General features: G+C 43.3%; 1 protein-coding gene across 33 annotated transcripts in view, besides 5 other annotated features; it reads right to left on the reverse strand.

Annotated features, from left to right (window-relative positions):
- Window positions 1–19,635, reverse strand: part of ATXN3 (ataxin 3) — a 61,808-nt gene extending 42,173 nt beyond the window's left edge. For 6 of the 33 annotated variants that reach the window (NR_028462.2, NR_028458.2, NR_028468.2 and 3 more), the window contains exons 1-5: window positions 19,582–19,635; window positions 9,727–9,891; window positions 9,146–9,190; window positions 6,305–6,371; window positions 1,783–1,870 (exon numbers count right to left, since the gene is read on the reverse strand). Coding sequence is in view for 11 of the 33 variants with exons in the window: in NM_004993.6 (NP_004984.2) it covers window positions 1,783–1,870; window positions 6,305–6,371; window positions 6,799–6,884; window positions 9,146–9,190; window positions 9,727–9,891; window positions 19,582–19,605 (475 nt within the window). In the remaining 22 variants the exon portion in view is untranslated. Of the gene's footprint in view, window positions 1–1,782; window positions 1,871–6,304; window positions 6,372–6,798; window positions 6,885–9,145; window positions 9,191–9,726; window positions 9,892–19,581 lie in introns of all 33 variants that reach the window. The other 27 variants (NR_031765.2, NR_028466.2, NR_028463.2 and 24 more) reach the window with 16 other exon arrangements.
- Window positions 6,575–6,644: a silencer, noted in NCBI's record as "silent region_6031". NCBI's record gives its function as "represses an Ori minimal core promoter by ATAC-STARR-seq in GM12878 lymphoblastoid cells {active_cell/tissue: GM12878}" and the evidence as "EXISTENCE:reporter gene assay evidence [ECO:0000049][PMID:35858748]".
- Window positions 12,850–13,386: an enhancer, noted in NCBI's record as "NANOG hESC enhancer chr14:92566141-92566677 (GRCh37/hg19 assembly coordinates)". NCBI's record gives its function as "activates a minimal SCP1, AML or CMV promoter by ChIP-STARR-seq in naive H9 embryonic stem cells {active_cell/tissue: H9 hESC(naive)}" and the evidence as "EXISTENCE:reporter gene assay evidence [ECO:0000049][PMID:30033119]".
- Window positions 18,924–19,858: an enhancer, noted in NCBI's record as "H3K27ac-H3K4me1 hESC enhancer chr14:92572215-92573149 (GRCh37/hg19 assembly coordinates)". NCBI's record gives its function as "activates a minimal SCP1, AML or CMV promoter by ChIP-STARR-seq in naive H9 embryonic stem cells {active_cell/tissue: H9 hESC(naive)}" and the evidence as "EXISTENCE:reporter gene assay evidence [ECO:0000049][PMID:30033119]".
- Window positions 19,275–19,734: a silencer, noted in NCBI's record as "silent region_6032". NCBI's record gives its function as "represses an Ori minimal core promoter by ATAC-STARR-seq in GM12878 lymphoblastoid cells {active_cell/tissue: GM12878}" and the evidence as "EXISTENCE:reporter gene assay evidence [ECO:0000049][PMID:35858748]".
- Window positions 21,063–21,873: an enhancer, noted in NCBI's record as "OCT4-NANOG-H3K27ac hESC enhancer chr14:92574354-92575164 (GRCh37/hg19 assembly coordinates)". NCBI's record gives its function as "activates a minimal SCP1, AML or CMV promoter by ChIP-STARR-seq in naive H9 embryonic stem cells {active_cell/tissue: H9 hESC(naive)}" and the evidence as "EXISTENCE:reporter gene assay evidence [ECO:0000049][PMID:30033119]".

Below are 27,196 nucleotides of genomic sequence, written 5' to 3' on the forward strand. Positions count from 1 at the left end.
TCATCTATTTAAATAGGCTCAAAGCACAGGTGAAGATATAAGCAAATTGATAAATTTGCTGGTAGAAAGAACATAATTTTAATTGCTTCTATGTTCTCAGCAGAATGTAACGGAAAGCCACAAGGAAGGTGTGTAAGGGAGAGGAAAGTGCTTAAAGGTTTAAAGACATAAGCTGTGAAATTAGTCACCTTGGAGGGTGGCACATTATTTTTTATAAACTTCTTGGAGAGTGGTACATAATTTTTTATAAACACCTTGGAGGGTGGTACATCACTAAGAAAACATAGTAGAAATATCAGACAGCACTAAAGGCTCATCTGAATTTTGTGATTATAATAAATTTAAAGTAAAACCTTAGCTAGGTGTGGTAGCACAAGCCTGTAGTCCCAGCTACTCAACAGGCTAAGGCAAGAGAATCACTTGAGCCCAGGAGTTTGGAGCTGCAATGAGCTGTGATTATGCTGCTGCACTCCAGCCTGGGCTTCAGAAATAGGCCTAGTCACTTTGATAGATGGATGGGTGAATGGATGGATAGATCATTTAAGAAAAAAGTAAAACCAATCATCATGTTTTATGTTATTTTTTAGCCACGTCCAGCTACTCTGGTACAGGAATGGACAAGGCCAAGATGTGGTTTAACCAGGGTTGAGATTTTTGTCATTCAAGTATGATGGAGGGAGAGAGGGGAAACACGTTGAAGAATGCAATGGAGTGATTATGATGACGGATTACAGAAAATAAGCAGTAGAAGAAAGGAAGAATGCGTATAAAGGAAATGCTTGGGCCCCACAGTAGGGTTTAAAGAATGGCTGGAATAAAAAAACAGACAAAACATGGTTTAAAGATAGGAGGTGGTAGTTAAAGAGTAATATGCTTGCAATTGAGATTTGACAGTGGTTATGATTACTGGTAATAGCTAAGCAAGAGTAAGTGATTTTGAAACTAAGAGGCAGGTACTGGATTGATTGACGATACAGAAATAATTAAGAATGATAAAAGTAGTTGAAGTAGAGAAAAAGACAACGAGTCAGATCCTAAAATCACTGATGAAAAGAGACTTGTGGATGAGTGCAAAAGGACAAGGGATAGTTTAATCTAGGGGCATGTATTTCTTTTTTTTTTCTTTTCTTTTTTTTTTTGAGACGGAGTCTCGCTCTGTCGCCCAGGCTGGAGGGCAGTGGCGCGATCTCAGCTCACTGCAAGCTCCGCCTCCTGGGTTCACGCCATTCTCCTGCCTCAGCCTCCCGAGTAGCTCGGACTACAGGCGTCCGCCACCACACCCCGGCTAATTTTTTGTTATTTTTAGTAGAGACAGGATTTCACCGTGTTAGCCAGGATGGTCTCGATCTCCTGACATCGTGATCCGCCTGCCTCAGCCTCCCAAAGTGCTGGGATTACAGGCGTGAGCCACCGTGCCCAGCCGTTAGGGGCATGTATTTCAAAGAAACTGGAGTTTATAAGGAAGAACAGTGGCCTAGAAGAGGCAAAGAAGAAAAACATCTATCCCTCCTCTCAGCCGTGTGATATGTGATGTATAAAAGAAAAAGCCATTACTTAGAAGGGCTGCAAAGAAAGCAGCATCCTCAGAAGAGGAAGGGCCAGGTGTCAGTGAGAACTCTAACTGAACAGCGTCACCCAAATCACAGCCTATCACCACGTCAAAACTAAAGATTGTTTCACTGCCACTGCCAGAAAAACAGTTTTATCACACTGTCATCTAATGTGCCTGGTTATTTAACTACTTCGAAAGGTAACATTACAAAATGTTCAGCCGTTACTTACCTTCCTGTTGTAATTGAGCCAAGAAAAGTGCAAGATATGTATCTGATATTAATTCTGGACCCGTCAAGAGAGAATTCAAGTTAAACCACTGGAAAAAAATTGTCAATATTTAAGTTAGTGTATATTATAGGTAATAAGGAAGTTTCACATGTTAAGAATAGATACAACCCATCAAAGCTTAGTAAGATTGTTTAAACTCTGGAAATATTTCAAGTTGAGCTCTTTTCTTTGACTGAATAATATGATCTTAAAAACTACAAGAGAATACTGCAGATTTATCACTATTAAATACTTTTTTTTTTTTTTGAGAAGAGTCTCACTCTGTAACCCAGGCTGGAGTGCAGTGGCATGATCTCGGATCACTGCAACCTCTGCCTCCCAGGTTCAAGTGATTCTCCTGCCTCAGCCTCCCAAGTAGCTGGGACTACAGGTCTGCACCACCACACCCAGCTAATTTTTGTATTTTTAGTTAGAGACAGCACATTTGCCACATTGGCCAGGCTGGTCTCAAACTCCTGACCTCAAATGATCCGCCCGCCTCAGCCTCCCAAAGTTCTGGGATTACAAACATGAGCCACTGCACCTGGCCTCTGCTAAATACTCTTTTTTTTTTTTTTTTTTTTTTTTTAGACAGAGTATTGCTCTGTCGCCCAGGCTGGAGTGCAGTGGCGCGATCTCGGCTCACTGCAAGCTCCGCCTCCCGGGTTCATGCCATCCTCCTGCCTCAGCCTCCCGAGTAGCTGGGACTACAGGCGCACGCCGCCACACCCAGCTATTTTTTTGTATTTTTAGTAGAGACAGGGTTTCACCATGTTAGCCAGGATGGTCTTGATCTCTTGACCTTGTGATCCGCCCGCCTAGGCCTCCCAAAGTGCTGGGATTACAGGTGTGAGCCACCGCGCCCGGCCCTGTTAGATACTTTTTTAAAAACAACAGTTTGCTTTAAACTATAAACATTAAACCCTCCCAAAAGAATAAAAATGCATAGTCAGTAGTTTAAATGTCTTTATTAATAGCTATAATTAAATCTTTTTTCAAAATATCAGTCCAACATAACTCCAATCATATCTATCACACTGATGGGAGGAAAAATGACAACTACACAAAGTTTTCCCATTACTGATAATTTTTGTCAAAAGATTCCAATTGTGAGAAAGTCAGAAGTTCCAGGAAGAGAATTTATAATTACCAGCTCAGTTTTTAAAAATCACTAAATTAGCTGGGCATGCAGCTCATGCCTATAATCCGAGCACTTTGGGAGGTTAGCTAAGGTGGGAGGATTGCTTGAGCCCAGGAATTTGAGACCAGCCTGGGCTGTAACATAGTGAGACCCTGTCTCTATAATTTAAAAATGTTTTTAAAAAGCACTATCACATATAACATATAAACACATTTTTTTAAAAGAGATGGTCATCTAGTCTGGAGTGCAGTGGTGCAATCATAGCTCACTGCAGCCTCGAACACCTGGGCTTAAGTGATTCTCTCGCTTCATCCTCCCAAGCAGCTGGGACTACAGGTGTGCACCAAGATGCTTGACAAATTTTCTAATTTTTTTGTGTGGAGAAGGGGTCTTACACTATGTTGTACAGGCTGGTCTCAAACTCCTGGATTCAAGACATCCTCCCACCTCAGCCTCCCTACATGCTGGAATTACAGGTGTTAGCCACTGCACTCGGCCCTAATTAACATCATTTATCACTACCACATAGTAATCCTAATTTAACCCACAAGATACAAAAAGTTTCTAAAGTTAACGATCAATATCATGACCAACTACTTTTCCTGGATTTTGACAATGTTAATACTTTTTCCAGCCTTCTTTTTCATTATACAGGGACCTCGAGAGACAGAAAGAGTCTATAGTGAAAAATATAGTTTTAAACAAAAATATAAATTAGAACCAAAGAAAATAAACCAAAATTTGACATCTTCTGTATTTGTCAAAGATAACGTAATTCAAAATGTGAAAATGCAATTTTGAAGAACTAAAATTTTTTAAATCTCTCAAAATAATAAGATAGACATTTATTTGCAAATTAATACAACCTTAAAAATTCAGTGCTTACTTTATACAAAAAAAAGTAAAAAATACTGGATCATAATTTTTAAAAACACATAAATAAAACCCAGAGGTTAAATAATCTCAGCAGTACGCTACACTGGTTTTTACCTAGAGGTGATTCCCACTCGCATCAGCCTCTACTGCTGTAAGCTGCCTTTTTTTTTTTTTTTTTTTGTAGAGACAAGGTGTCACTGTGTTGGGCCAAGCTGCTCTCAAGCTCCTGGCCTCAGTGATCTCCCTGCCTCAGCCTCCTAAAGTGCTGGGATTACAGGCGTGAACCACTGCACCCAGCTAGCCTCCACTGTAAGCTTCTAGGTTACATCTCCTTAACTTGCTCTTGGCTCCTCAGGAAGAACTTTAAGAAAGAACCAACTTAGGGCTCGGCATGGTGGCTCACGCCTGTAACCCCAGCACTTTGAGAGGCAGAGACGGACGGATCACCTGAGGTCAGGAGTTCAAGACCAGCCTGACCAACATGGCGAAACCCCGTCTCTACTAAAAATACAAAAATTAGCTGGGTGTGGTGGTGCGTGGCTGTAGACACAGCTATTTGGGAGGCTGAGACAAGAGAATTGCTTGAACCCAGGTGGCGGAGGTTGCAGGGAGCCAAGATCCCGCCACTGCAATCCAGCCTGGGCGATAGAGCAAGAATCCGTCTCAAAAGAAGGAAAGAAAGAAAGAAAGAACCAACTTAGGATGAAGCTAAGTAGGTGACTTTTCCCAAATTTGATTTGGGTGACTTAAAAGATAACAATAGGGTTTTTGTTTTTGAATTATCTCTTACAGATTTAATTCAATATATTTTCTTGACTTATACCTTTTTTGGCTTGTATTTACATTTTAAAAAAAACAGATTTATTGGGGTATAAGTGACATATAATAAACTGCACATATTTAAAGTGTATAATTTGAAACTTTTTTTTTGAGACAGGATCTCCTTCTGTCACCCAAGCTGGAGTGCAGTAGCACGATCATGATTCACTGCAGGCTTGACCTCTGTGCTCCCTCCTCAGCCTCCCTAGCACCTGGGACTACGGCCATGCATCACCACGCCTAGCCAATTTTTTTTTCTTTCATTTTTTTTTTAGAGATGGGGTCTTGTGCCATTGCCCAGGCTGGTCCTGAACTCCTTGAGCTCAAGCAATCCTCCTGCCTTGGCCTCCAAAAGTGCTGGGATTACAGGCATGAGCCACTGCATCTGGCCTCTGAAATGTTTTCACATTTGTATACTGTACTCCCATGAAACCATTACTACAACCAAGATAGTGAACACATTCCTCATTGCCATGTTTCCCGTGCCTCTCTGTAACCCTCCCCTCTCACTCCTCCATAGCCTTCTCGTCCCCAGGCAACCGCTGGTCAATCTGCTTTCCATCACTACAGATGAATCTGCACTTTTCTAGACTTTTAATAAATGATACCATACAGCAGGTAGTATTTTGTTTGTGGGTTATTCTTTCAGCATAATTATTTTGAGATTCATCCATATTGCTGCATGTATCACTAGTTTATTCTTTTTTACTGTCCTAGCTGGTTTTCAATAACCCTCTTTCAAAGATTCAAAATTCTAATAACAAGGACGTTAAATGATTGTTTCTTAAAATAGCTTGCTCAAGACATATTTCATGTTTTATTTAAAAAATAGAAGTGATTTTCTGTAGACGTACGTATTACATGGCTTTTGGAATCATAATGAATAATCTTACACTAAAGCAAACATAATTGAATGCTTTATTCATGCTTGACACTATTTCAGGCTTTGTGACAGCACTATGCTAAATACAAATCTATAAATGTAATAATTAACTGACAGAACATAGTCATCACATAAAAACCCACTTAAAAGTAACCACATTTGTATTATCTTTAATATAGAATTTTTCTTATGATATAGTTAAATTGCATATACTTGTCACAAATAAATTTATAAGGAAAACTGATATTATCTTTTAAAATGACAATTTCTATCTATCAAGAAGGATAAACCATGCTACACACACACACATTACTGGTCAGTTTCCTAATTTTAAAGTCAGCAATCCTTTTTTTTTTTTAATTTTTAAATATATTTTTTTTATTTTTATGTTTTATAGAACAGTCTTACTCTGTCACCCAGGCTGGGGTACAGTGACAAAATCATAGTTCACTGCAGCCTCAAACTCCTGAGCTCAAGTGATCCTTCTGACTCAGCCTTCCAAGTAAGCTGGAATTACAGATGTGAGCCACCATGCCTGGCTCTTTGTTTTTTTTTTTATTTATTTTTATTTTTATTTTTATTTTTTTTTTAAGAGACAGGACCTCCCTTTGTTGCCCAGGCTGGTCTCAAACTCCTGGCTTCAAGTGATCCCCCCACCTCAGCCTCCCAAACTGTTGGCATGAGCCACCACACCTGGCCCACATTTTAGTTTTAAATGGGGTACAATATAAGAAAAAAAGACAAGGAAGGGTAAGAAATGTTACCTGTTTTCCTAATTTTCTAACTGTAAACCAGTGTTCCTTATAATTGCATATAAATGATCTTTCATTTCTAAAAAAGAAAACAGACAATATTAACTTGAAATATTGAATTCATATTTATGTTGTCTACTGGCAAATATTATATAAAATTTGTGATAATTTAAGATTATATTTATAGTTAAGTGTCACTGATGTTTTTAAAAGATCACACAACCATATGAACGTCTCTGCAGCAGCTTAGTGATGCTGTGCCACAAGATGGCCTCATGCACCACTTATGGGGTCAGCTCTGTGCTGCCACAGACACTGGGGTGCCAGGAAGGCTACAGGGCAGATGCTCATGGACATCACAAAGGTGAAATAGGAAAGTCTGAGTGAATGAAACAGGGAACATCAAAACAAAAGTATTCAAAATGTATTTCTCTTCTTTAAGAAATTACAACTTTAAAAATCAAATTTGGGAAAAGAAATGTATGAAATGCAAAACAGAATCTTACATAGGATCGATCCTGAGCCTCTGATACTCTGGACTGTTGAACAGGATTAGTTCTAAACCCCAAACTTTCAAGGCATTGCTTATAACCTGTTAAGAAAAATAGCAACTTTTCATAAGCTAAACCACTCCATTCCAAATTTAGGAAGTGTAGCTATGTTAGTTGTGTACTTCATATATAAATTTCTCTAGAAGGCTATAGGTTTTTTTTTTTTTTTTTGTGACAGAGTCTTGCTCTGTCGCCCAGGCTGGAGTATAGTGGCACGATCTCGGCTCGCTGCAACCTCCGCCTCCCAGGTTCAAGCGATTCTCCTCCTGAGGCTCCCGAGTAGCTGGGATTACAAGCACACGCCACCACACCCAGCTATTTTTGTATTTTTAGTAGAGACAGGGTTTCACCTTGTTGGCCAGGCTGGTCTCAATCTCCTGACCTTGTGATCCACCCGCCTGGGCCTCCCAAAGTACTGGGATTACAGGCATGAGCCACCACGCCCAGCCGGCTATAGGTTTTAAAAAGTGTGTGTGTATAGATATATCACTAAATCCATAAAAAAAAACACATATATATTAGAAGAGTGCTTTTCATACCAGGTCTCTGAGATGTTCCAGAAAACCACACAATTCCTAAATAAAACTGCCTCAAAAATCCAGATGTATATTCTACCCATAAGTGCTTTTCTTAAAACTAGTCTACTATATACATCTGATAATTTGGCTGCTGTGGGTGCTACTTTAGAAAAATTATATTCAACTTGCTACCTGCAATGTCAGAAATCATATCTACCAAAATAAGTTCTCCCTGGGCATTTAAACTGAAGGTTCCATAGATGTCAGACTTCTAGGGTCATGGGCTTGCCGCTTGTAGAAAAAACAAAATGCAAACCTGTTTATTTCAATCTGTCTGACAAAAAAAGGGAAATTTCTGAAAATTCACTATCTGCCCTCCAAGGTAGCCAACAAAGAAGCAAGTGAGCCAGGTACCAGCAAAGACAGAAATTGAGTGCAAGGTAGTGGGCACACATGAACAGGCACCAAGAGCAGCAAGGCACAAATAGGAAACGCCAAGTGCTGGGCCTACTCTGGCCTCTGATTTCAGCCCTGCAGTAGCCATTACCTGTTAGCAGTGGCACGGTAAAGCACTAGATGGAAATGCTGGTGGATGAGGAAGAGTCCAGGAGGGCAGTACAAGGGAAACATAAACAAAGATATCTGCAGAGATAGGTCGCTCAGGAGAGGTTCCGAAAGTACTCTGGATACAACTCACAGTGTTAGAAAAAGAATGAAAGACCCACAGATAAAAGAATCTTGCGAGTACATATATATATAACCACCAAAGAATTCAAAGAGAGCTATACATTAAAAAAAAAAAATCAAAAGCCACAAACCATAATAAGGAAATCCAGTCTGGTAGGCTGATTTAAAAGGATGGTAGCAAGGTATTGCATTTTCTCAAATTTACCCAACAGATGGTAAGTTTGAGACATTGTGACTTATTAGAATTAAGGATTTCTTTTTTTCTTTGAGATGGAGTCTCGCTCTGTCACCAGGCTAGAGTGCAGTGGCGCGATCTTGGCTCACTGCAACCTACGACTCCCTGGTTCAAGCGATTCTCCTGCCTCAGCCTCCCGAGTAGCTGGGATTACAGGCACGTGTCACCACGTCCAGCTAATTTTTGTATTTTTAGTAGAGACGGGGTTTCACCATGTTAGCCAGGATGGTCTCAATCTCCTGACCTCGTGATCCGCCCACCTCGGCCTCCCCAAAGTGCTGGGATTACAGGTGTGAGCCACCGCGCCCGGCCAGAATTAAGGTTATTATTAGCATCCAGATGCAAATTAATCTTTCTCAAGAAGGAATTTTTAAATGCCCCACTCTAATATGAAGATTCTACAATCCTTTCATGTTTATCTATATAAAAATCTAGTACTCTAGTTGGCCAGGTGCAGTGGCTCACACCTGTAATCCCAGCACTTTGGGAGGCTGAGGTCAGGAGTTGGAGACCAGACTGGCCAACACGGTGAAACCCCACTATCTCTACTAAAAATACAAATATTAACTGGTGTGGTGGCGGGTGCCTGTAATCCCAGCTACTTGGGAGGCTGAGGCAGGAGGATCGCTTGAACCCGGGAGGCAGAGGCTACAGTGAGCCAAGATCACGCCACTGCACTCCAGCCTAGGTGACAGAACGAGACTCTGTCTCAAGAAAAAAAAAATCTAGTACTCTAGAGTATAATCTATACTCTGTAGACAGAAGAACTTCCGAAGGTCGCCTTGTTACAGTGACTATTGAAAGGCTGTGAAACGGTGCCTGGGATGTAAGCAACACATAGTACATGCTTGTGACTACTTACCTGAATAGAGAAAAAACCACTGTCATCCATATTTCCAGAAGGCTGCTGTTAATTTTGACAGGTAGTTGAAGCAAGGGTGGGGGTGGGGAAAGAAGGATACAAACTGTCATTAGCGTGCATATTTAAAACAATATCTTGTGCATTCCCATTTCCAAAGTTAACAGCACAGTTATAATTCACCAGTCAGATCCCTATAGGAAGAATGGCCCATCCTTTTCTAAATGGTATCCACATTTTTAAAAGAAATGTAAGCCGGGTGTGGTGGCTCACACCTATAATCCCAGCACTTTGGGAGGCCAAGACAGGTGGATCATAAGGTCAGGAGTTTGAGACCAACCTGACCAACATGGTGAAACCCCATCTCTAACAAAGATACAAAAAATTAGCCGGGCATAGTGCCGTGTGCCTGTAATCCCAGCTACTTGGGAGGCTGAGGCAGGAGAATCGCTTGAACCCGGGAGGCAGAGGTTGCAGTGAGCCGAGATCGCGCCATTGCACTCCAGCATGGGCAACAGGGCGAGACTCCGTCTCAAAAAAAAAAAAAAAAAAGAAATGTGACTTAGTGAGTTTAAAATCAGTACCTGTAAAAACGTGCGATAATCTTCACTAGTAACTCCTCCTTCTGCCATTCTCATCCTCTCCTCCTCATCCAGCTGATGTGCAATTGAGGATAATTCCACAGGGCTAAAATATTCTCCTTGCAATAAGTTATTCAGGCAATGTTGAGCACAAAGTGAGCCTTCTTGCTAATATTTCCAAAAGAAAAAATTAAAATGTGACTTGTTAAACAGAATTGTATAGTATCTTCCCCTAAATAATTTTTTTTTTTTTTTGAGACGGAGTCTCACTCTTTCACCCAGGCCGGAGTGCAGTGGCGCTATCTTGGCTCACTGCAAGCTCCGCCACCCGGGTTCATGCCATTCTCCTGCCTCAGCCTCCCGAGTAGCTGGTACTACAGGCACCCGCCACCACGCCCGGCTAAATTTTTGTATTTTTAGTAGAGACGGGGTTTCATCCTGTGTTAGCCAGGATGGTCTTGATCTCCTGACCTCGTGATCCGCCCGCCTTGGCCTCCCAAAGTGCTGGGATTACAGGCGTGAGCCACTGCGCCCGGCTCCCCTAAATAATTTAATCATTAATTTTTTTTTTTTTTGAGACAGAGTCTTGCTCTGTTGTCCAGGCTGGAGTGCAGTGGAGCAATCTCAGCTTACCACAACCTCCGCCTCCCGGGTTCAAGTGATTCTCCTGCCTCAGCCTCTCAAGTAGCTGGGACTACAGGCATGCACCACCATGCCTGGCTAATTTTTGTATTTTTAGTATATACAGGGTTTCACTCTGTTAGCCAGGCTGGTCTCAAACTCCTGATCTTGTGATCCGCCTGCCTCGGCCTCCAAAAGTGCTGGGATTACAGGTGTGAGCCGCCACACCTGGCCAACTTTTTTTTTTTTTTTGAGATGGAGTCTTGCTCTGTCACCCAGCCTGGAGTGCAGTGGCATGATCTCGGCTCACTGTAAGCTCTGCCTCCTGAGTTCACGCCATTCTCCTGCCTCAGCCTACCAAGTAGCTGCGACTACAGGTGCCCACCGCCATGCCCGGCTAATTTTTTGTATTTTTAGTAGCGATACGGTTTCACAATGTTAGCCAGGATGGTCTCGATCTCCTGACCTCGTGATCTGCCCACCTTGGCCTCCCTAAGTTCTGGGATTACAGGCAAGAGCCACCCTGCCAGGCCCCTACTATGTTTTAACATAGTTGAACTGAACTTTCAGCTTTAGATAAGGATAATTAACATAGGTACATGCATTTTCATTTGGTAACATTTATTTTACAAATCTACCATTAATGAAACTATAATTACATGATCAAAAATTTAAGAATTATTTTAAACAAACATCATCTATCAAATGCATCAAATCTCATATTTTACTAAAAACTACTGTATAAAACATTTAGTCTCCCTCATTTTCAGTACCTAAAATAAGTTCATTCTTGGAGATTCTACAGTAAATTACTAATGGTGAAAGGAAATTTTAGTCCCTAGAACAGTTATTTATTTATTTAAAAAAAGAGATCTCACTATGTTGCCCAGGCTGGACTTGAACTCCAGGGCTCAAGGGATCTTCCTGCCTCAGCCTCCCGAGCAGCTAGAACTACAGAAACATGACACTGTGCCCAGCTCCCTAGAACATTTATTCTTTTAACATGATGATGTCAGTCAAGCATGGTGGCTCACACCTGTAATCCCAGCAGTTTGGGAGGCCGAGGTGGGTGGACTGCTTGAGGCTGGGAGTTCGAGACCAGCCTGACCAATACGGTGAAACCTCGTCTCTACTAAAAATACAAAAATTAGCCAGCATGGTGGTGTGTACCTGTAGTCCTAGCTAATCAGGACACTGAGGCATGAGAATCGCTTGAACCCAGGAAGTAGAGCCTGCAGTGAGCCAAGACCATGCCACTGCCACTCCAGTCTGGGTAACAGAGCAAGACTCTGTCTCCAAAAATAAAAATAAAAAAATCTCCACACAATCTAAATGCTTGTTGATAGAACTTCAAATCTTAAGAATTAATACAGGTGAGAAAAATTCTGTTCCATGTTAAAACTTGCAGTTACAGTGCTGAAGTTCTCTTCATGGAACTCTACAGATAATGTATACACAGTGTAAAGCAATGAGCAGAACTGTCCCAAACAACCCTGGAGCTCACTCCTGGACAAGCCAGCAAGAGGGACTGCACCCAAGCTCAGCTCCCATGGGATGACAGGATTCCTCCTCATGGGAGGTAGGTACAACTTCTCATGGGTTCAGGGCCTTCAGGTGCTGGGCAGTTTCTCACACAACTGGCAACCTGAATCCAAGTCCAGGGTGCCTGGTACTAAGTAGCCTGCGTGTGACCCTCCTCCCCGCAACAGTGTAGCTTTCCCATGCTACCTGATAAGAAGGGAGAATCACAGATGGATGGATCCCTCCCTGTGAACACAGACACCAGGTTTGCCCCTCCCTGAATTGACGGCAGATGAGAGAACATTTCCTTCTCCTGCTAACCTTGGCCCTCCAAGTTCTCTCTTTCCCCAATAAGGTCTATTCCTTAACCCAACCTATCTGACATCACACAATTTGTCCTGAGCTATGTCACACAGCAGACTCTAAAGAGAACCACCTTGCAAGACGGATATTTTTCCTGATGAATCAATTTTCTAGGAGCAAAATTCAGCTGGTGAAAAAAATATGGGTTATATGTGTATAATGGAATAGGAAGACAACATTGAGACAGCCTCAGTCTGAGATAAGTTTATCTTCAACTTTTCGTAAGGAATAAGTAGCTTGGAGCTAGAGAGAACACTATCCCCCAAGTCTTCTCATGAGAATAGACTTTTTGTTTCCACTTCTTTCTCCTCCTTATATATTTCTACTACCAGAGTGCAACTCTTACTGAATAATATGCAAATTGAAGGGATATACAGATGTTCTACTTATATCCTTTTGAAAAATAGCCAAGGCTGGCTGCGGTGGCTCATGCCTGTAATCCCAGCATTTTGGGAGGCCAAGGCAGGAGGATTACTTGAGCCCAGAAGTTTGAGACCAGCCTGGACAACATGGTGAAACCCCATTTCTACAAAAAATAAAAAATTAACTGAGCATGGTGGTGCGTGCTTGTAGTCCAGCTTCTTGGGAGGCTGAGAAAGGAGGATAACTTGAGCCCCAAAAAGGTCGAGGCTACAGTAAGCTGAGACTGCACCACTGCACTCCAGCATGGGTGACAGGGCAAGACCAAGAAAGACAGAAAGACAAGAAAGACAAGAAAGAAAGACAGAAAGAAAGAAAAGAAGGAAGGAAAGAAAGAAGAAAGAAAGAAAGGAAGGAAGGAAGAAAAAGAAAGAAAGAAAAGAAAAATAGGCAAGACAAACAAGCACTTCACAAGACAGTCAAATGGCTATAAAGAACACAAAAGAGGTACTCAACTTTATTAGTCATCAGGGAAATGTAAATTAAAACCACAATGTGTTAGTACACAAACTCTAAAATGGCTAAAATGTTGGAGATTAGAGATACAGAAACTGTTGTATACTACTGATGAGAGGATAAATTGGTATAACCAATAATAACTAATAATTATGTAATGCATCCACTAAAGCTTAATATATACATCTCCTATGATCTAGCAATTCCATTACTAGGTACATAATGTAAACAACAGCAATGCAAACATACATTCATCAAAAGACATGTATAAGAATGTTCACAAAAGCAGTATTTTTGTGCCACAAATAGCATTACTATTTGTAGTAATACAAAATAGCATTACAGATAGCATTACTATTTGTAATGGACCCCAAACTGGAAACGACCCAAATGGATAGCTGGGATCACAGTAGAATGGAAATTGTGTTTACTCACAAAAGAATACTAGATAACAATGAGGATGAATTAACTACAACAGTAGTTAATTAACAATAATTAACAGTAGTTAATTCTGGAACAGTATGGATAAATTTCTCAAACAATGGTAAACTAAAGAGGACAGAATCGAAAGGGTATATACACTGTACACTTCCAGTCACAAAAGCTCAAAATCAGGCAAAACTCATTTATGATGTCAGAATTCAGCATAGTGGTTATATTTGGTGGGAATGCAGTGGAGAGACAGTACCTAGAAAAGGGAATAATGGGAGGTTATAGGATGCAGGTAAATCTTTTGTTACTTGCTGTTTACACATGTTCACTGTGTGAAAATTCGCTGAGCTGTACTCTTAATGATTTGTGTGCTCCTCTCTGTATTGTATCTAATTTTTAAAAAATTCAAACAGTAAGAAAAAAGCCTTTGCTAACACAAATTTCCTGTCTTGCTGTCAGTTTGGAGTTTACAAACTATGGTCACCATACTTAATACCATATATAGCAATAGTGACATCCAAATATTTGATTAAAATTCTCTCTATAAAAAATAGCTTTAAATTATGAAAAATAAGTACTTGAAATCAAACTTCATCAAAGAAAAACTGTATTGCTACAGGAAATATCAAGTTCTGTACTTCTAATATGATTTAATGGAAGGAAAGGACAAACTGTTCAGTACAAATTTAAAAATCACTTAAGGCTAGGCACAGTGGTTCATACTATAATCTCAACTGTTTGAGGGGCTGAGGTGGGAGGATCACTTGAGCCCAGGAGTTCAAGGCTACACGGAGCTAAGATTGTGCCACTGTATTCTGGCCCAGGTGACAGAGCAACATCATGTCTCTCAAAAAGACACAAAATAAATAAAAATAAAAACAAAAATAAACATAACTTAAGTCATAGGACGGATCAAATTCCACATGGACCAAAAGAATTGTACAATGACAATGAGCCCACGTAAGATTATGCATTTTCCTGCCTTGCCCTTATCTCAAACTATCCCCAGCCACCTCTCTCATCAAGCTTTAATCAAAGCAGAAGTTCACTTTGCCATAATCAAAGTTCAGCGGTATTGAAATCTCATGATTTGGCTGGGCATGGTGGCTCATGGCTGTAATTCCAGCACTTTGGGAGGCCAAGGCAGGTTGATCACTTGAGATCAGGAGTTCGAGACCAGCCTGGCCAACATGGTGAAACCCCGCCTCTACTAAAAATATAAGAATTAGCCAGGTGTGGTGGCAGGCGCCTGTAGTCCCAGGTGCTCAGGAGGCTAAGGCAGGAGAATCACCTGAACCCAGGAGGCGGAGGTTGCAGTGAGCTGAGATTGCACCACTGCACTCCAGCCTGGGTGACAGAGTGAGACTCTGCCTCAAAAAATAAAAAATAGGCTGGGCGTGGTAGCTCACGCCTGTAATCCCCGCACTTTGGGAGGCTGAGGCAGGTGGATCACGAGGTCAAGAGATCAAGACCATCCTGGCCAACATGGTGAAACCTCGTCTCTACTAAAAATAAGAAAATTAGCTGGGCATGGTGGCACATGCCTATAGTCCCAGCTACTCGGGAGGCTGAGGCAGGAGAATCTCTTGAACTCAGGAGACGGAGGTTGCAGTGAGCTGAGTTCGCGCCACTGCACTCCAGCCTGGTGACAAAGTGAGACTCTGAAGAAAGTTCGTGCCACTGCACTCCAGCCTGGTGACAGAGTGAGACTCCAAAGAAAGAAAAGAAAGAAAGAAAAGAAAGAAGGAAGGAAGGAAGGAAAGAAAGAAAGAAAAGGAAGAAAGGAAGAAAGGAGGGAGGGAGGGAATAAATAAATTAAAAACAAAAAAAAAAATAAAAGAAATTCTATGATTTTAGGCCCAGACTTCATTGTGTTGGGCTCAGAGAATTAGCAAACTGCAGTTCTACAAAGATAATGTATAAAATCACAAAAGAGAACTGCTACCAAATCATTTACCCCCAACCTCCCCAGGTTTTCAAGACCAACCTGAAACTAGTTCAAATTACCAGAGACACTACTAACTACAACACAAATCAGGTATAAACCTAAGGTGCTCTCGGGAATGGGCTATCTGGGGACAAGCTGTCAATCTAGCAGCATTTCTCACCTCCTCTTAGTGCTCTCCGAGCCCTTACTATGAGGTTCAGCAAACACAAGCACCTGAGTAATGGCAATGGCCAGTACTTCTACAGCACTATCTGCCAGGGAGCCTTCTCTACACTCTAACTCTCAGGTTATGTCTATGTTATTATCCCCACACTACAGAGGAGGAAACTAGAGGACAGGGATACTAAGTAACTTGCTCAGGATCACACAGGTAGTAAAAGGCAGAGCTGAGACTCAAACCCAGGCAGAGGTTTCAAAACCTGTGCTATTAGCACTTCAAGTCATTTATACAGAATTTGGCTTCTCCTAAAGCTCAAATGTCCTAAAGATGGCTAAAATCCAGCAATCACAAAAGGGCATAATGAATGCCACAGAGTCAATGCTCAGCATCTTTTCAATCTTTTCAATAATTTTATGTACAACCCCAGCAAGTTTAGATATTATTACCAGTTTGCATTACATTAAAAGCACCAATACAAATGGCACAGTAACTGCACCAAGAAACATCAGCAAGAGGATTAAAAAAAAAAAAAAAAACAAAGCAGGCACCAGAACTAAAACAAACAACAACAAAAATCCAGTAGTGGTCATAAAGTTAGTACAAAGGTTTAAGTTAGGGGTTGGCAAACTCTAGCCCATGGGCCAAATTCAACCTGCCCCAGTAGCTAAGAATGCACTTTACATTTTTACATGGTTGGGAAAAACATGCACAAATAAGAATGTGTGACAGAGACTACAGCTGGCCTGCAAAGCCTTAAAATATTTACAGAAAACTTGTTTACTTTAGATAAACAGCACCATATATATCTCAGAAACTCAAAGCCATCTCTTTATCCATTCAAATATATACATTTTTTTCTTTTGAGACAGGATCTTGCTCTGTCCCCTAGGCTGGAGTGCAGTGGTGCGATCATGGCTCACTACAGCCTCGACCTCCCAGACTCATGCAATCCTCCCACCTCAGCCTCCCAAGTCTACAGGCATGTGCTAACACGCCCAGCTAATTTTGTTCATTCTTGTAGAGACAGGTCTCACCACGCCCGGCCCCATTCAAATATTTATTGAGTACTTACTCTGTGCCAGGCCCTCTCTCAGGCACTGCAGATATATCAGTGAGAAACTGTTTTTACATTCTAACTTAATAAAGGGTACTCAAAGTGACTACTCAGAAAGAGGAAACCAAGGTTCCAAGAGGAAATGGTTGCAAGGCCCTTCGTAGGCAGATATTGCTACCTACACAGCTTCTTTAGGGCCAAAGTTGGTTCTCTGGCTCTCCAAACCCAGGACCTAGCAAGGGTTAAAGGTATATTGCAGAGGGGAAGGCAGTGAACGGAAAAATGGCACAGTAAGCCCAAACATTCCCAGAATGGACTGTATAGGAGATTAACAATTGGGCCATATGGTTATAGGTGCGTACTCTTGAGGACGCCCAAAAAACTAAATTGTTGAATCTTCACATGCTATGTAGATACAAGTTGATGATAATGGTAAAGGTATTCCTGAAGTATCTGTAGGCCTATACACATGCTGATAATTAAGAGGGACTCTTTTTTCCTTTTCTTTTTTTTGAGACGGAGTCTCGCTCTGTTGCCCAGGCTGAAGTGCAGTGGCACGGTCTCGGCTCACTGCAACCTCTGCCTCTCGGGTTCAAGCAATTCTCCTGCCTCAGCCTCCAGAGTACCTGGGATTACAGGCGCCTGCCACCACACCTGGCTAATTTTTTGTATTTTTAGTAGAGACGGGGTTTCACCATGTTGGCCAGGCTGGTCTCAAACTACTGACCTCATGATCCGCCCGTCTGGGCCTCCCAAAGCACTGGTGTGAGCCACTGCACCCAGACTAAGAGGGATTTCTTTCGGGTAAGTAGATTTTCACTAGGCTAGCACTCAGCTTTTTTTCATCCCATGGGTCAGTACAAATGTGTCCCAACTAGGTAACAATATTGTTAAAAATCTTGTCTAATTCTCAGGAAGTAGTGTGGAACATGTTTAAGGCCTTCCATGTTGAAATGTGGTCCCACACCAAAGCCTTTGAAAATTAATAACAAAAATATGGCCGGGTGCGGTGGCTCACGCCTGTAATCCCAGCACTTTGGGAGGCCGAGGCGGGCGGACCACCTGTCAGGAGTTGGAGACCAGCCTGGCCAACATGGTGAAACCCTGTCTCTACTAAAAATACAAAAATTAGCTGGGCGTGGTGGCGGGCGCCTGTAATCTCAGCTACTGGGGAGACTGAGGCAGGAGAATCGCTTGAACGGGGAGGCGGAGGTTGCAGTGAGCCATGATGGCGCCATTGCACTCCAGCCTGGGTGACAAGAGCCAAACTCCATCTCAAAAAAAAAAAAAAAAAAGTACGTGTGTATTTTTCACGCACTCTACTCAGCCAAGCAACCAAATCTCTATTGTCTATGATTTACGAGTCATGTCAATCAAGTCAAAAAATTAGTGACAACTATACGACTGAGTCCTTCCTCCCCCACTGAACATCAGCCTATTTCAAAAGTTTCCGAGATGTTTTCTACAATGAAAAGCATTGTACTTAACAATTTGTTCCAGGCACAGTGGCTCACGCCTGTAATCACAGCACTTCGAGAGGCCGAGGTGGGAGAATCACCTGAGTCCAGGAGTTCGAGACCAGCCTGGGCAACACAGCGAGACCCCGTCTCTCCCAAAAACATTACCTGGCCCTGGCGATATGCACCTGTAGTCCCAGCTACTCTGGAGGCAGAGGCGGGAGGATCGCTTGTGCCTAGGAGATCAAGGCTGCAGTGAGCCATGATCTCTCCATTGCACACCTGCCTGGGTGACAGAATGAGACCCCATCTTTAAAATAAAAATTAAAAAAAATTTATGCTACAGATTTACATTTGGTAAATGTATTCTTTTGTCTTTGCTTTATTTGTTGTGTGTGTGTGAATTTTAAATGTCTGGGATAAATGATCATTTATAAGTATTTAATAAAACAAAAACCCTTTGCTCCTCCTATTAAATAACAGCCTTACCAGCAACTCTTTCCAAACACGAAACTATTATGAAACATGATACCATGTGCCAAAGCTGTCCTGGGGAAGGCTTCACTCACACACAAATGGCTGGATAATAGTATGAGAGAAACGAGGAGTTTCTTTACATATCACAAACAGTATCTTCAAGTGCATGGTCACGGAAGAGTTAAAGGGACAGCAGGCTAGGCAGACTACAACAAAATCATCCCAGTCCACTCCTAATACCTAAAAACAAAGCTGGCCGCCTGCTCCGGAAAGATGGGAGTACCAAAAGAAACCAAACCCAAACATCCCGTAATAAAAACTCTTGTGACGACTTCCCTGTTTAGGGGCACGCCGGGTTTCCTACTTCACTTCCTAAATGTCAGGCCCTACAGTGGGCGAGCCAAGGTCTCCTCCCTCGGGAGGCTCGCGGACCTAGTGCAGGGGAAAGACACGAACAAGACCCCAAAGATCTACGTGTAGGGAAGACTCCAATATAGAATTGAGCAGTCCGGAGGAGGAAAAGTTAATTCTGCCAGGATTAGGGTAGGAGGGGTTGAGGGAGGTGTCCCAGAGATGACTCTAGCTAGACCCTAGGGAGAGGGAAGGATTGGGGAGGGGTGAAGGAATCCTCCGAAAAGCGATGGAAAGTGACGGAGAAAGGCAGAAGCAAACCCACTGGGCGCCACCCCACTCCCGTGTCCCGAGACGCCCCCGGCCCCGCCCATACTCCCTCCCGGCTCCCAGGGCGGGGGCCGCGGGGGAAGTAGGGGCGTAGGTGATGCTCCCCTCCTCGAGCCGAGGAGGCGGGAGGCTGCGGCGTCGCCCCTCGCCGGGCGAGATCGGCATGGGGGCGACTCGGGCCCCACCCAGCCCTCCGAGAGGCGGTGATGCCGCGCTCCACGCCCGCCACCGCGCGGCAGACAGCTCCCCACCGAACGCGGACACTCACTTTCTCGTGGAAGATGGACTCCATGTTTATTTGTCTGGAGCCAACGGCCCCCACGCCGAACCACCCCCTCCAGCTCCGCCCCCTGCCCCTCTCCTCCGCCCACCCCGCCCCTCCCCGGCCCGCCCCGGTACCCCGCCCACGTGCCGCACGCAGACCAATCACCCGTGAGGATGCGAGTGTCGTGAAGCGAAGAGCGAGTGAACGCCGGGGACACGTGACCTTGGTAGCGCGTCCTCCTAGCTTCTGTTAGCGGGCCTTCTGGGGGATGCTACATCGCCACCTGCTGTCTGGAGGATCTTCTCCGCTTCCCACCCATTTCTATGGATTCTTAGGTTTCTGGGGGGAGGTCTGGACCGCTCACCTGGGTTCTATGTTCTTTTTGTTTTCCACTTTGACTTTCTACTGTGTTCATATAACTATTTACTTTCTTTCTCCTCCTCCTGCACTGAAAGTTTAGTAAGAAAAAAGCCATCATTACATTCTCCCAAAACCCAGCACTTGTATAAAAATGATAGCTAGGCCGGGCGAGGTGCTTCACGCTTGTAATCCCAGCACTTTGGGAGGCCGAGGCGGGCGGATCACCTGAGGTCGGGAGTTTGAGATCAGCCTGACCAACATGGAGAAACCCCGTCTCCACTAAAAATACAAAATTACCCGGGCGTGGTGGTGCATGCCTGTAATCCCAGGTACTCGGGAGGCTGAGGCAGGAGAATCGCTTGAACCCGGGAGGCCGAGGTTGTGGTGAGCCGAGATCGTGCCATTGCACGCCAGCCTGGGCAACAAAAGCGAAACCCCTCCCCCACCACCCCAAAAAAGAAAAAAAATGATAGTTAATATTTACATAAGGCTTTCTATGAGCTAGGCACTTTTCTAAATGCTTTGCATATATTATCAAATTTAATACAGCAAACTTTGATGTAGGTGTTGATGTTATTCATACACATGAGGAAACCGAGGCACGGAGAGGTTAAGAACAGCACAATGTCCAAGGTCAGATAGTAAGTTGTCTTGCCAGGATTCAAATCCAGGTGGCTTGTTACCAGTGTAGGTGTTCGGACCCTTTAGAGGGAACTTAGAAGTCCCATAAATTGTGTGGGAGACGGGGAGGTAGCAGCGGTTTGATGAAACTTAAATGGAAGGATAGGTGCAGATCTTGCACCTTGAAACCAGATTAAGGTGTACTTTTTTTTTTTTTTTTTTTGAGACGGCCCTCTCTCTGTCCCCCAGGCTGGAGTGCAGTGGCACAATCTCCCCGCTCACTGCAACTTCTGCTTCCTGGGTTCAAGTGATTCTCTTGCCTCAGCCTCCCAAACAGCTGGGATTACAGGCGTGCACCACGAAGTCCAACTATTTTTGTATTCTTAGTAGAGAAGAGGTTGTACCATGTTGGCCAGGCTGGTCTCGAACCCCCAGCCTCAGGTGATCCACCTGCCTTGGCCTCCCAAAGTCCTGGAATTACAGGCGTGAGCCACCGCACCTGGCCAAAGTGTACCTTTTAAAGGATGTGGGGAGCTATATAAATATTTTAAAAGAAGACATGTGGTCATGTTTGCCTTTTAGAAAGATCACTGGCTGCAGAAAAAAGCAGTTGCTGTTGAAGGAATCTTGGGAGAGACGATGGTGGTTTAAGAGAGTGTCTTAAAGATGGAAATAGCCCATTTTGAGAGATTCTTTGGACGTAAAGAGACTCAACAGAATGTGGTGATGATACCGAGTGGAGGAATACTAGCCTTTTTCGTCTTGAGTCGAATTACATAAAACGACATGGACAAACGTGGAGTGGTTTTAAGGAGCGGAGAGTTTAATAAGCAAGAAGGAAGGGAGAAGAAAGAAAGAAGCAGCTCCCCTGTACAGAGACAGAGGGATGGGTGCTCCAAAGCTGAGAGAGGAGACCCAGAGTGCGTGGGAGATACCAGCCAGTTATAGGAGGAGGATGCAGGAGGCGGTGTCTGATTTGCATAGGGCTCAGGGGACTGGTTTGACCACGCATGTCATTCATGTAGCCCCCTAATAAAACTGGCCATTCCACCCTAGCCTTTTAATATGCAAATGCAGGGCGCTATGATGTTCTACTCATGTGGGGATATGTGGGGGTGGCCATGTTGCCAGGCACTTGTGAGAACAAGGGCAAGAGGACGATGGTGGGAATCACCGTGTTGGTGGACCCAGTTTCTAACTGCCGGCATTTGCATATCAAACGTTGCCAGCTCGGGTCTAAAAGTCAGGGCTTTTATGCTAGACAGGAAACGTCTCAGGAGCTGCTTCAAAAGAGACAAAAACTTTTCAAGGACCCCTTTTCCTCTCTATCTGCCTAAAATAATTTCTTAATAACTCCTACCACAATGAGGGATTGGGGAAGGTAGGAGACAGAAATGTGAAGGTGACTTCTGGGTTTGTGACCTGGGCAGCCACTGTGGCAGGAGTGGTATTGAGAGCAGAAACATGGGAGGAGCAGCAAGGTTTTGGGAAGAGAATAAGATAGAGTTTACATTTTGGAGATACTGAATTTGAAATATCTATGGACATTTGAGTAATTATGTTGAGTAATGGTTGGATACCGAGTCTGAAGTTCAGGAGGCTGCTTTGAACTCAATGAGGAATTGTCATTAAAAAACAGATAGCTAAGGCCATTGTGGTGGTGCATGCCTGTAATCCCAGCACTTTGGGAGGCTGAGGCAGGCAGATCTCTTGAGGCCAGGAGTTCAAGACCAGGCTGGCCAACATGGTGAAACCTCATCTCTACAAAAATACAAAAATTAGCCGGGCGTGGTGGCTCATGCCTATAATCCCAGCTACTCAGGAGGCTGAGGCAGGAGAATCACTTGAACCGGGAGGTAGAGGTTGCAGTGAGCCAAGATCGTGCTATTGCACTCCAGCCTGGACAACAGAGTGAAACTGTGTCTCAAAAAAAAAAAAAAAAAAAAGTAACTGAAACCATAGGAGTGAATAAAATCATTTTAGGGAAAAGGAAGTGATTGAGAAGAGGGCTAGAGCTGAGCCGTGAGGATAGGAGAAGCAATAACCAAGGAGGAGGGAGGAGAAGCAAGAGAGTGTGACATTGTGGAAGGCCTGGGCAGGGGATGCTTCAAGGGGTAGTCAGTGTCAGTTGCTGCCAAGAAGTCAAGCAATATAAGGTCGTATAAGAGCCCACTAAATTTTGTTGCTATGGAGACCATTGGTGACTTTGGGGACTGCAGGTTCAGAGAAGTAGAGGGGGCAGTGAGAGGTAAGAGAATGGAGACTGCCAGAGAGGACCAGGTGCTGAAGGAGAGGATTCGGTACCATTTATCGAGCATCTCTGTGTGCACGGTTCACAGCCTTGTATGGGGGAAAGTCCATGTTCTTAAGGATTTGTGTGGCCTACCCAGGGAAATAAATTATAGTCTCATGAAGTGAAAAAAATTGCAAACCACCTTTTCTGTTTTTGTTTTGTTTTTTTAAATTGTAGTTGATGTCTTTCAAATGAATTAATGAAGTCGAAGGTCTTAGTCTTTTTGGGGCGCTTTAACAAGATATCTTAGAGTAATTTATAAACAGAAGTTTATTACAGATCTGTAATAAATTTACAGGCTAGGAAGTCCAAGATCAAGGCTCTAACGGATTTAGTGTCTGGTGAGGGCCCATTCCTCATAGATGGTGCATTTTTTTGTCCTCACATGGTGGAAGGGGAAAAGGGGCAAACAAGCTTCCTCTCTGCATAAGGGCACTAATCTCAGTCACAAGGCTTGGCCTTATGATCTAATCATCTCCCAAAGGCCCCATCTGTTAAACCAACACACTGGAGACTACATTTCAACAAATGAATTTTGGAAAGATACAAACATTCAGATCATAGCACCAAGTATCTGGGAATCATTTTTTATTCTCTTCCCACAACTTCTCCACGTCACCCCTTATTCCAATCAGTCCTCAAATGCTATAAATCCACTCCTAACTCTCTCTTGCCCTTGTCTTCATTGCTACTACTTAGTTCAAGCCCTCTTGGTATCTTGTGTACTCTAGTCCAAGGATCTTTGAATTGGTCTTCTGATTCCAGTCTCAATATGTCTAATTCATGGTGCTGTCAGTGATCTTCCAAAAATGCAAATCTCACAAGATTTTCTTTTGTTTAACAAGAATAACTGCATATCAGGCCCTGGGACTATAACCATGAAAAACACAAACAGTCCCACCTTCAGGGGACTTACATTGGCAGGGATTCTTAAATGATTACACAACTCTGACTTCAAAATCCTTCAGTGATGGCCGGGTGCAATGGCTCATGCCTGTAATCCCAGTACTTTGGGAGGCCGAGGCGGGTGGATCACCTGAGGTCAGGAGTTCAAGACCAGCCTATCCAACATGGTGAAACCCCATCTCTACTAAAAATACAAAAATTAGCCGGGTGTTGTGGTGGGCACCTGTAATCCCAGCTACTTGGGAAGCTGAGGCAGAATTGCTTGAACCTGGGCGGCAGAGGTTGCAGTGAGATGAGATCGCAACAGTGCACTCCAGCCTGGGCAACAGAGTGAGACTCTGCCTCAAAAAAAAAAAAAAAAAAAAAAAATCCTTCAGTGACTTCCTATTGCCATCCTATTGCTGGCCTGAAAAGCTCTGTGATCTGGACCAACCACCTGTCCTGTTCTGTTCTCCCCAAATTCTCTCTGCCCCAGTCACTCCAGACTCTAGTCATACTAGCTTCTTCCTTTTACTTCTGGAAAGTTCACTAAGGAAAAGTATTTTGTGCCACCGCTACACCTTGAGCATGCCTACATTACAGCACCATTACATCATACTGGAAGTATTACTTTATATACTACTGAACTATCAGCTTTTGAGGGGCAGAGGAATCTTACTCTTCTTTTTTTTTTTTTTTTGAGACAGAGTCTCACTCTCTCGCCCAGGCTGGAGTGCAGTGGCGTGATCTCAGCTCACTGCAACCTCCGCATCCAGGGTTCACGCCATTCTCCTGCCTCAGCCTCCCAAGTAGCTGGGACTACAGGCGCCCTCCACCATGCCCGGCTAATTTTTTTGTATTTTTAGTAGAGACAGGGTTTCACCATGTTAGCCAGGATGGTCTCGATCTCCTGACCTCGTGATCGGCCTGCCTCGGCCTCCCAAAGTGCAGGAATCTTACTCTTTAGGTCAAGGGTTGCTATAGAGCAATGAATTAATGCATGAAGTCTTTTTGATTGACTGGCACAAAAAATTACCAATAATTCAGTAGGAGAGAGAGAAGTTACTGAGCTAATCAGGAAAGAGTTCATGGAGACAGAATAGACCACATAGATGCACTTCCAGTACACTTTCTATGTCATCTTAGGCTACTCACCTTTTCTGTAATCTTCTTCATTGAAATCTTGTGTTGGCCGGGCATGGCAGCTCAACTCCTAGCACTTTGGGAGGCCAAGGCAGGCAGATGACCTGAGGTCAGGAGTTCAAGACCAGACTAGCCAACATGGCAAAAACCCGTCTCTACTAAAAATACAAAATTAGCTGGGTGTGGTGGCATGTGCCTGTAATCCCAGCTACTCGGGAGGTTGAGGCAGGAGAATCACTTCAACCTGGGAGGCAGAGGTTGCAGTGAGCCGAGATAGCGCCATTGCACTTCAGTCTAGGTGACAGAGCAAAATTACATCTCAAAAAAAAAAAACAAAAACAAAAACAAAAAGGTCGAGCGCAGTGGCTCACGCTTGTAATCCCAGCACTTTGGGAGGCCAAGGCAGGCCGATCACGAGGTCAGGAGATCGAGACCATCCTGGCTAACACGGTGAAACCCCATCTCTACTAAAAATACAAAAAAATTAGCCGGGTGTGGTGGCAGGCGCCTGTAGTCCCACCTACTTGGGAGGCTGAGGCAGGAGAATGGCGTGAACCCCCGGGAGGCGGAGGTTGCAGTGAGCTGAGATCGTGCCACTGCACTCCAGTCTGGGCGACAGAGCAAGACTCCCGTCTCAAAAAAAAAAAAAAAGAGTAAGATTCCTCTGCCCCCTCAAAAGCTGATAGTTCAGTAGTATATAAAGTAATACTTCCAGTATGATGTAATGGTGCTTTAATGTAGGCATGCTCAAGGTGAAACCCCATCTCCACTAAAAATACAAAATTTAGCCGGGCGTGGTGGCGGGCGCCTGTAGTCCCAGCTACTCAAGAGGCTCAGACAGGAGAAGGGCATGAACCCGGGAGGCGAAGTTTGCAGTGAGCCGAGATCGTGCCACTGCACTCCAGCCTGGGCGACAGAGTGAGACTCCATCTCAAAAAAAAAAAAAAAAAAAAAGAAAAAAAAAAAGAAATCTTGTGTTAACAAGAGAGATTGCATAGAGCTATTTCCATCTTCTTGAACACTGTACCTATTAAATCCAAACTCGCATGAATTTTGTTACCCAAAATGAAATAGTTTAACAGAATTTCAAATGTTTGGCATTTTAAAAATTATGATGTGTATTAATCAACACAAATCAGTGGTAACTAAATGGTATCGTTTCAGCGTAATCTTCTCCTAAATTAAATCCTACCTAAAACAATTAATAAAATTTGGCTTCCAAGAAGAGGTAGTAGAACTTGGCAATTTATTTACTTACTTATTTGTTTGTTTATTTAAGATGGGTCTCACTCTATCGCCCAGGCTGGAGTGCAGTGGTGCAATCTTGGCTCACTGCAACCTCTGCTTCCCGGGTTCAAGTGATTCTCCTGCCTCAGCCTCCTAAGTAGCTGGGATTACAGACATGCACCACCATGCCTGGCTAATTTTTGTTCTTTAGTAGAGATGGGGTTTTACCATATTGGCAAGGCTGGTCTCAAACTCCTGACCTCAAACAATCCACCTGCCTCGGCCTCCCAAAGTGCTGGGATTACAGATGTGAGTCACCGTGCCTGGCTATGTTTTTAAAAATTGATAACTGAATCTTGATGATATTGTGTTATAAAAAATGAATCAAGAGAGAATCCAATTTACTATTACAGATCTTGGCATTAGCAATTTATGTTTCATAAAAAATACTACACGTATTTCCAGGAAAGGGAGGTAGAAAAAAATACACACAACAGCATTGTGTTGAAACTCTCCATATATCCCTTAAGGACAAAAGACTTAGGTGTAATATTGCTTGCAATAAAGTATATATGCTTGAAACAAACCAAAGAAAACAAAAGAAATAAAACCTAATGTTTCTGATTAGTGCTATTTTTGTCCTTTCTAAAAATATTCTGCTCTTCCTGATTACAGATTTTTCAAGTATTATTCATCAATCTCCTCTTTCATATATTGAAGGCAAAGGAATATTTTTAAAAGAGTTTACTTCTCTATTGTTTTTATTTTATATTTTATTTTTTGACACGGGCTCACTCTGTCTTCCAGACTGGAGTGCAGTGGCACAATCACGGCTCATTGCAGCCTCATCCTCCACAGGCTCAGGTGACCTCCCACCTCAGACTCCTGAGTAACTGGGACTACCCACCACACCGCACCACACCCAGCTAATTTTTATATTTTTAGTGGAGACGGGGTCTCACCATGTTTTCCAGGCTGGTCTCAAACTCCTGGGCTCAAGCCATCTGCCCACCTTGGCCTCCCAAAGTGCTAGGATTGCAGGCATTGCCACTGCGCCTGGCCCAGCCTCCTTGTAATTCTTTATAACAC

The sequence above is a fragment of the Homo sapiens genome, chromosome 14 (genome assembly GCF_000001405.40).
Source record: "Homo sapiens chromosome 14, GRCh38.p14 Primary Assembly".
NCBI classification, from domain to species: domain Eukaryota; kingdom Metazoa; phylum Chordata; class Mammalia; order Primates; family Hominidae; genus Homo; species Homo sapiens.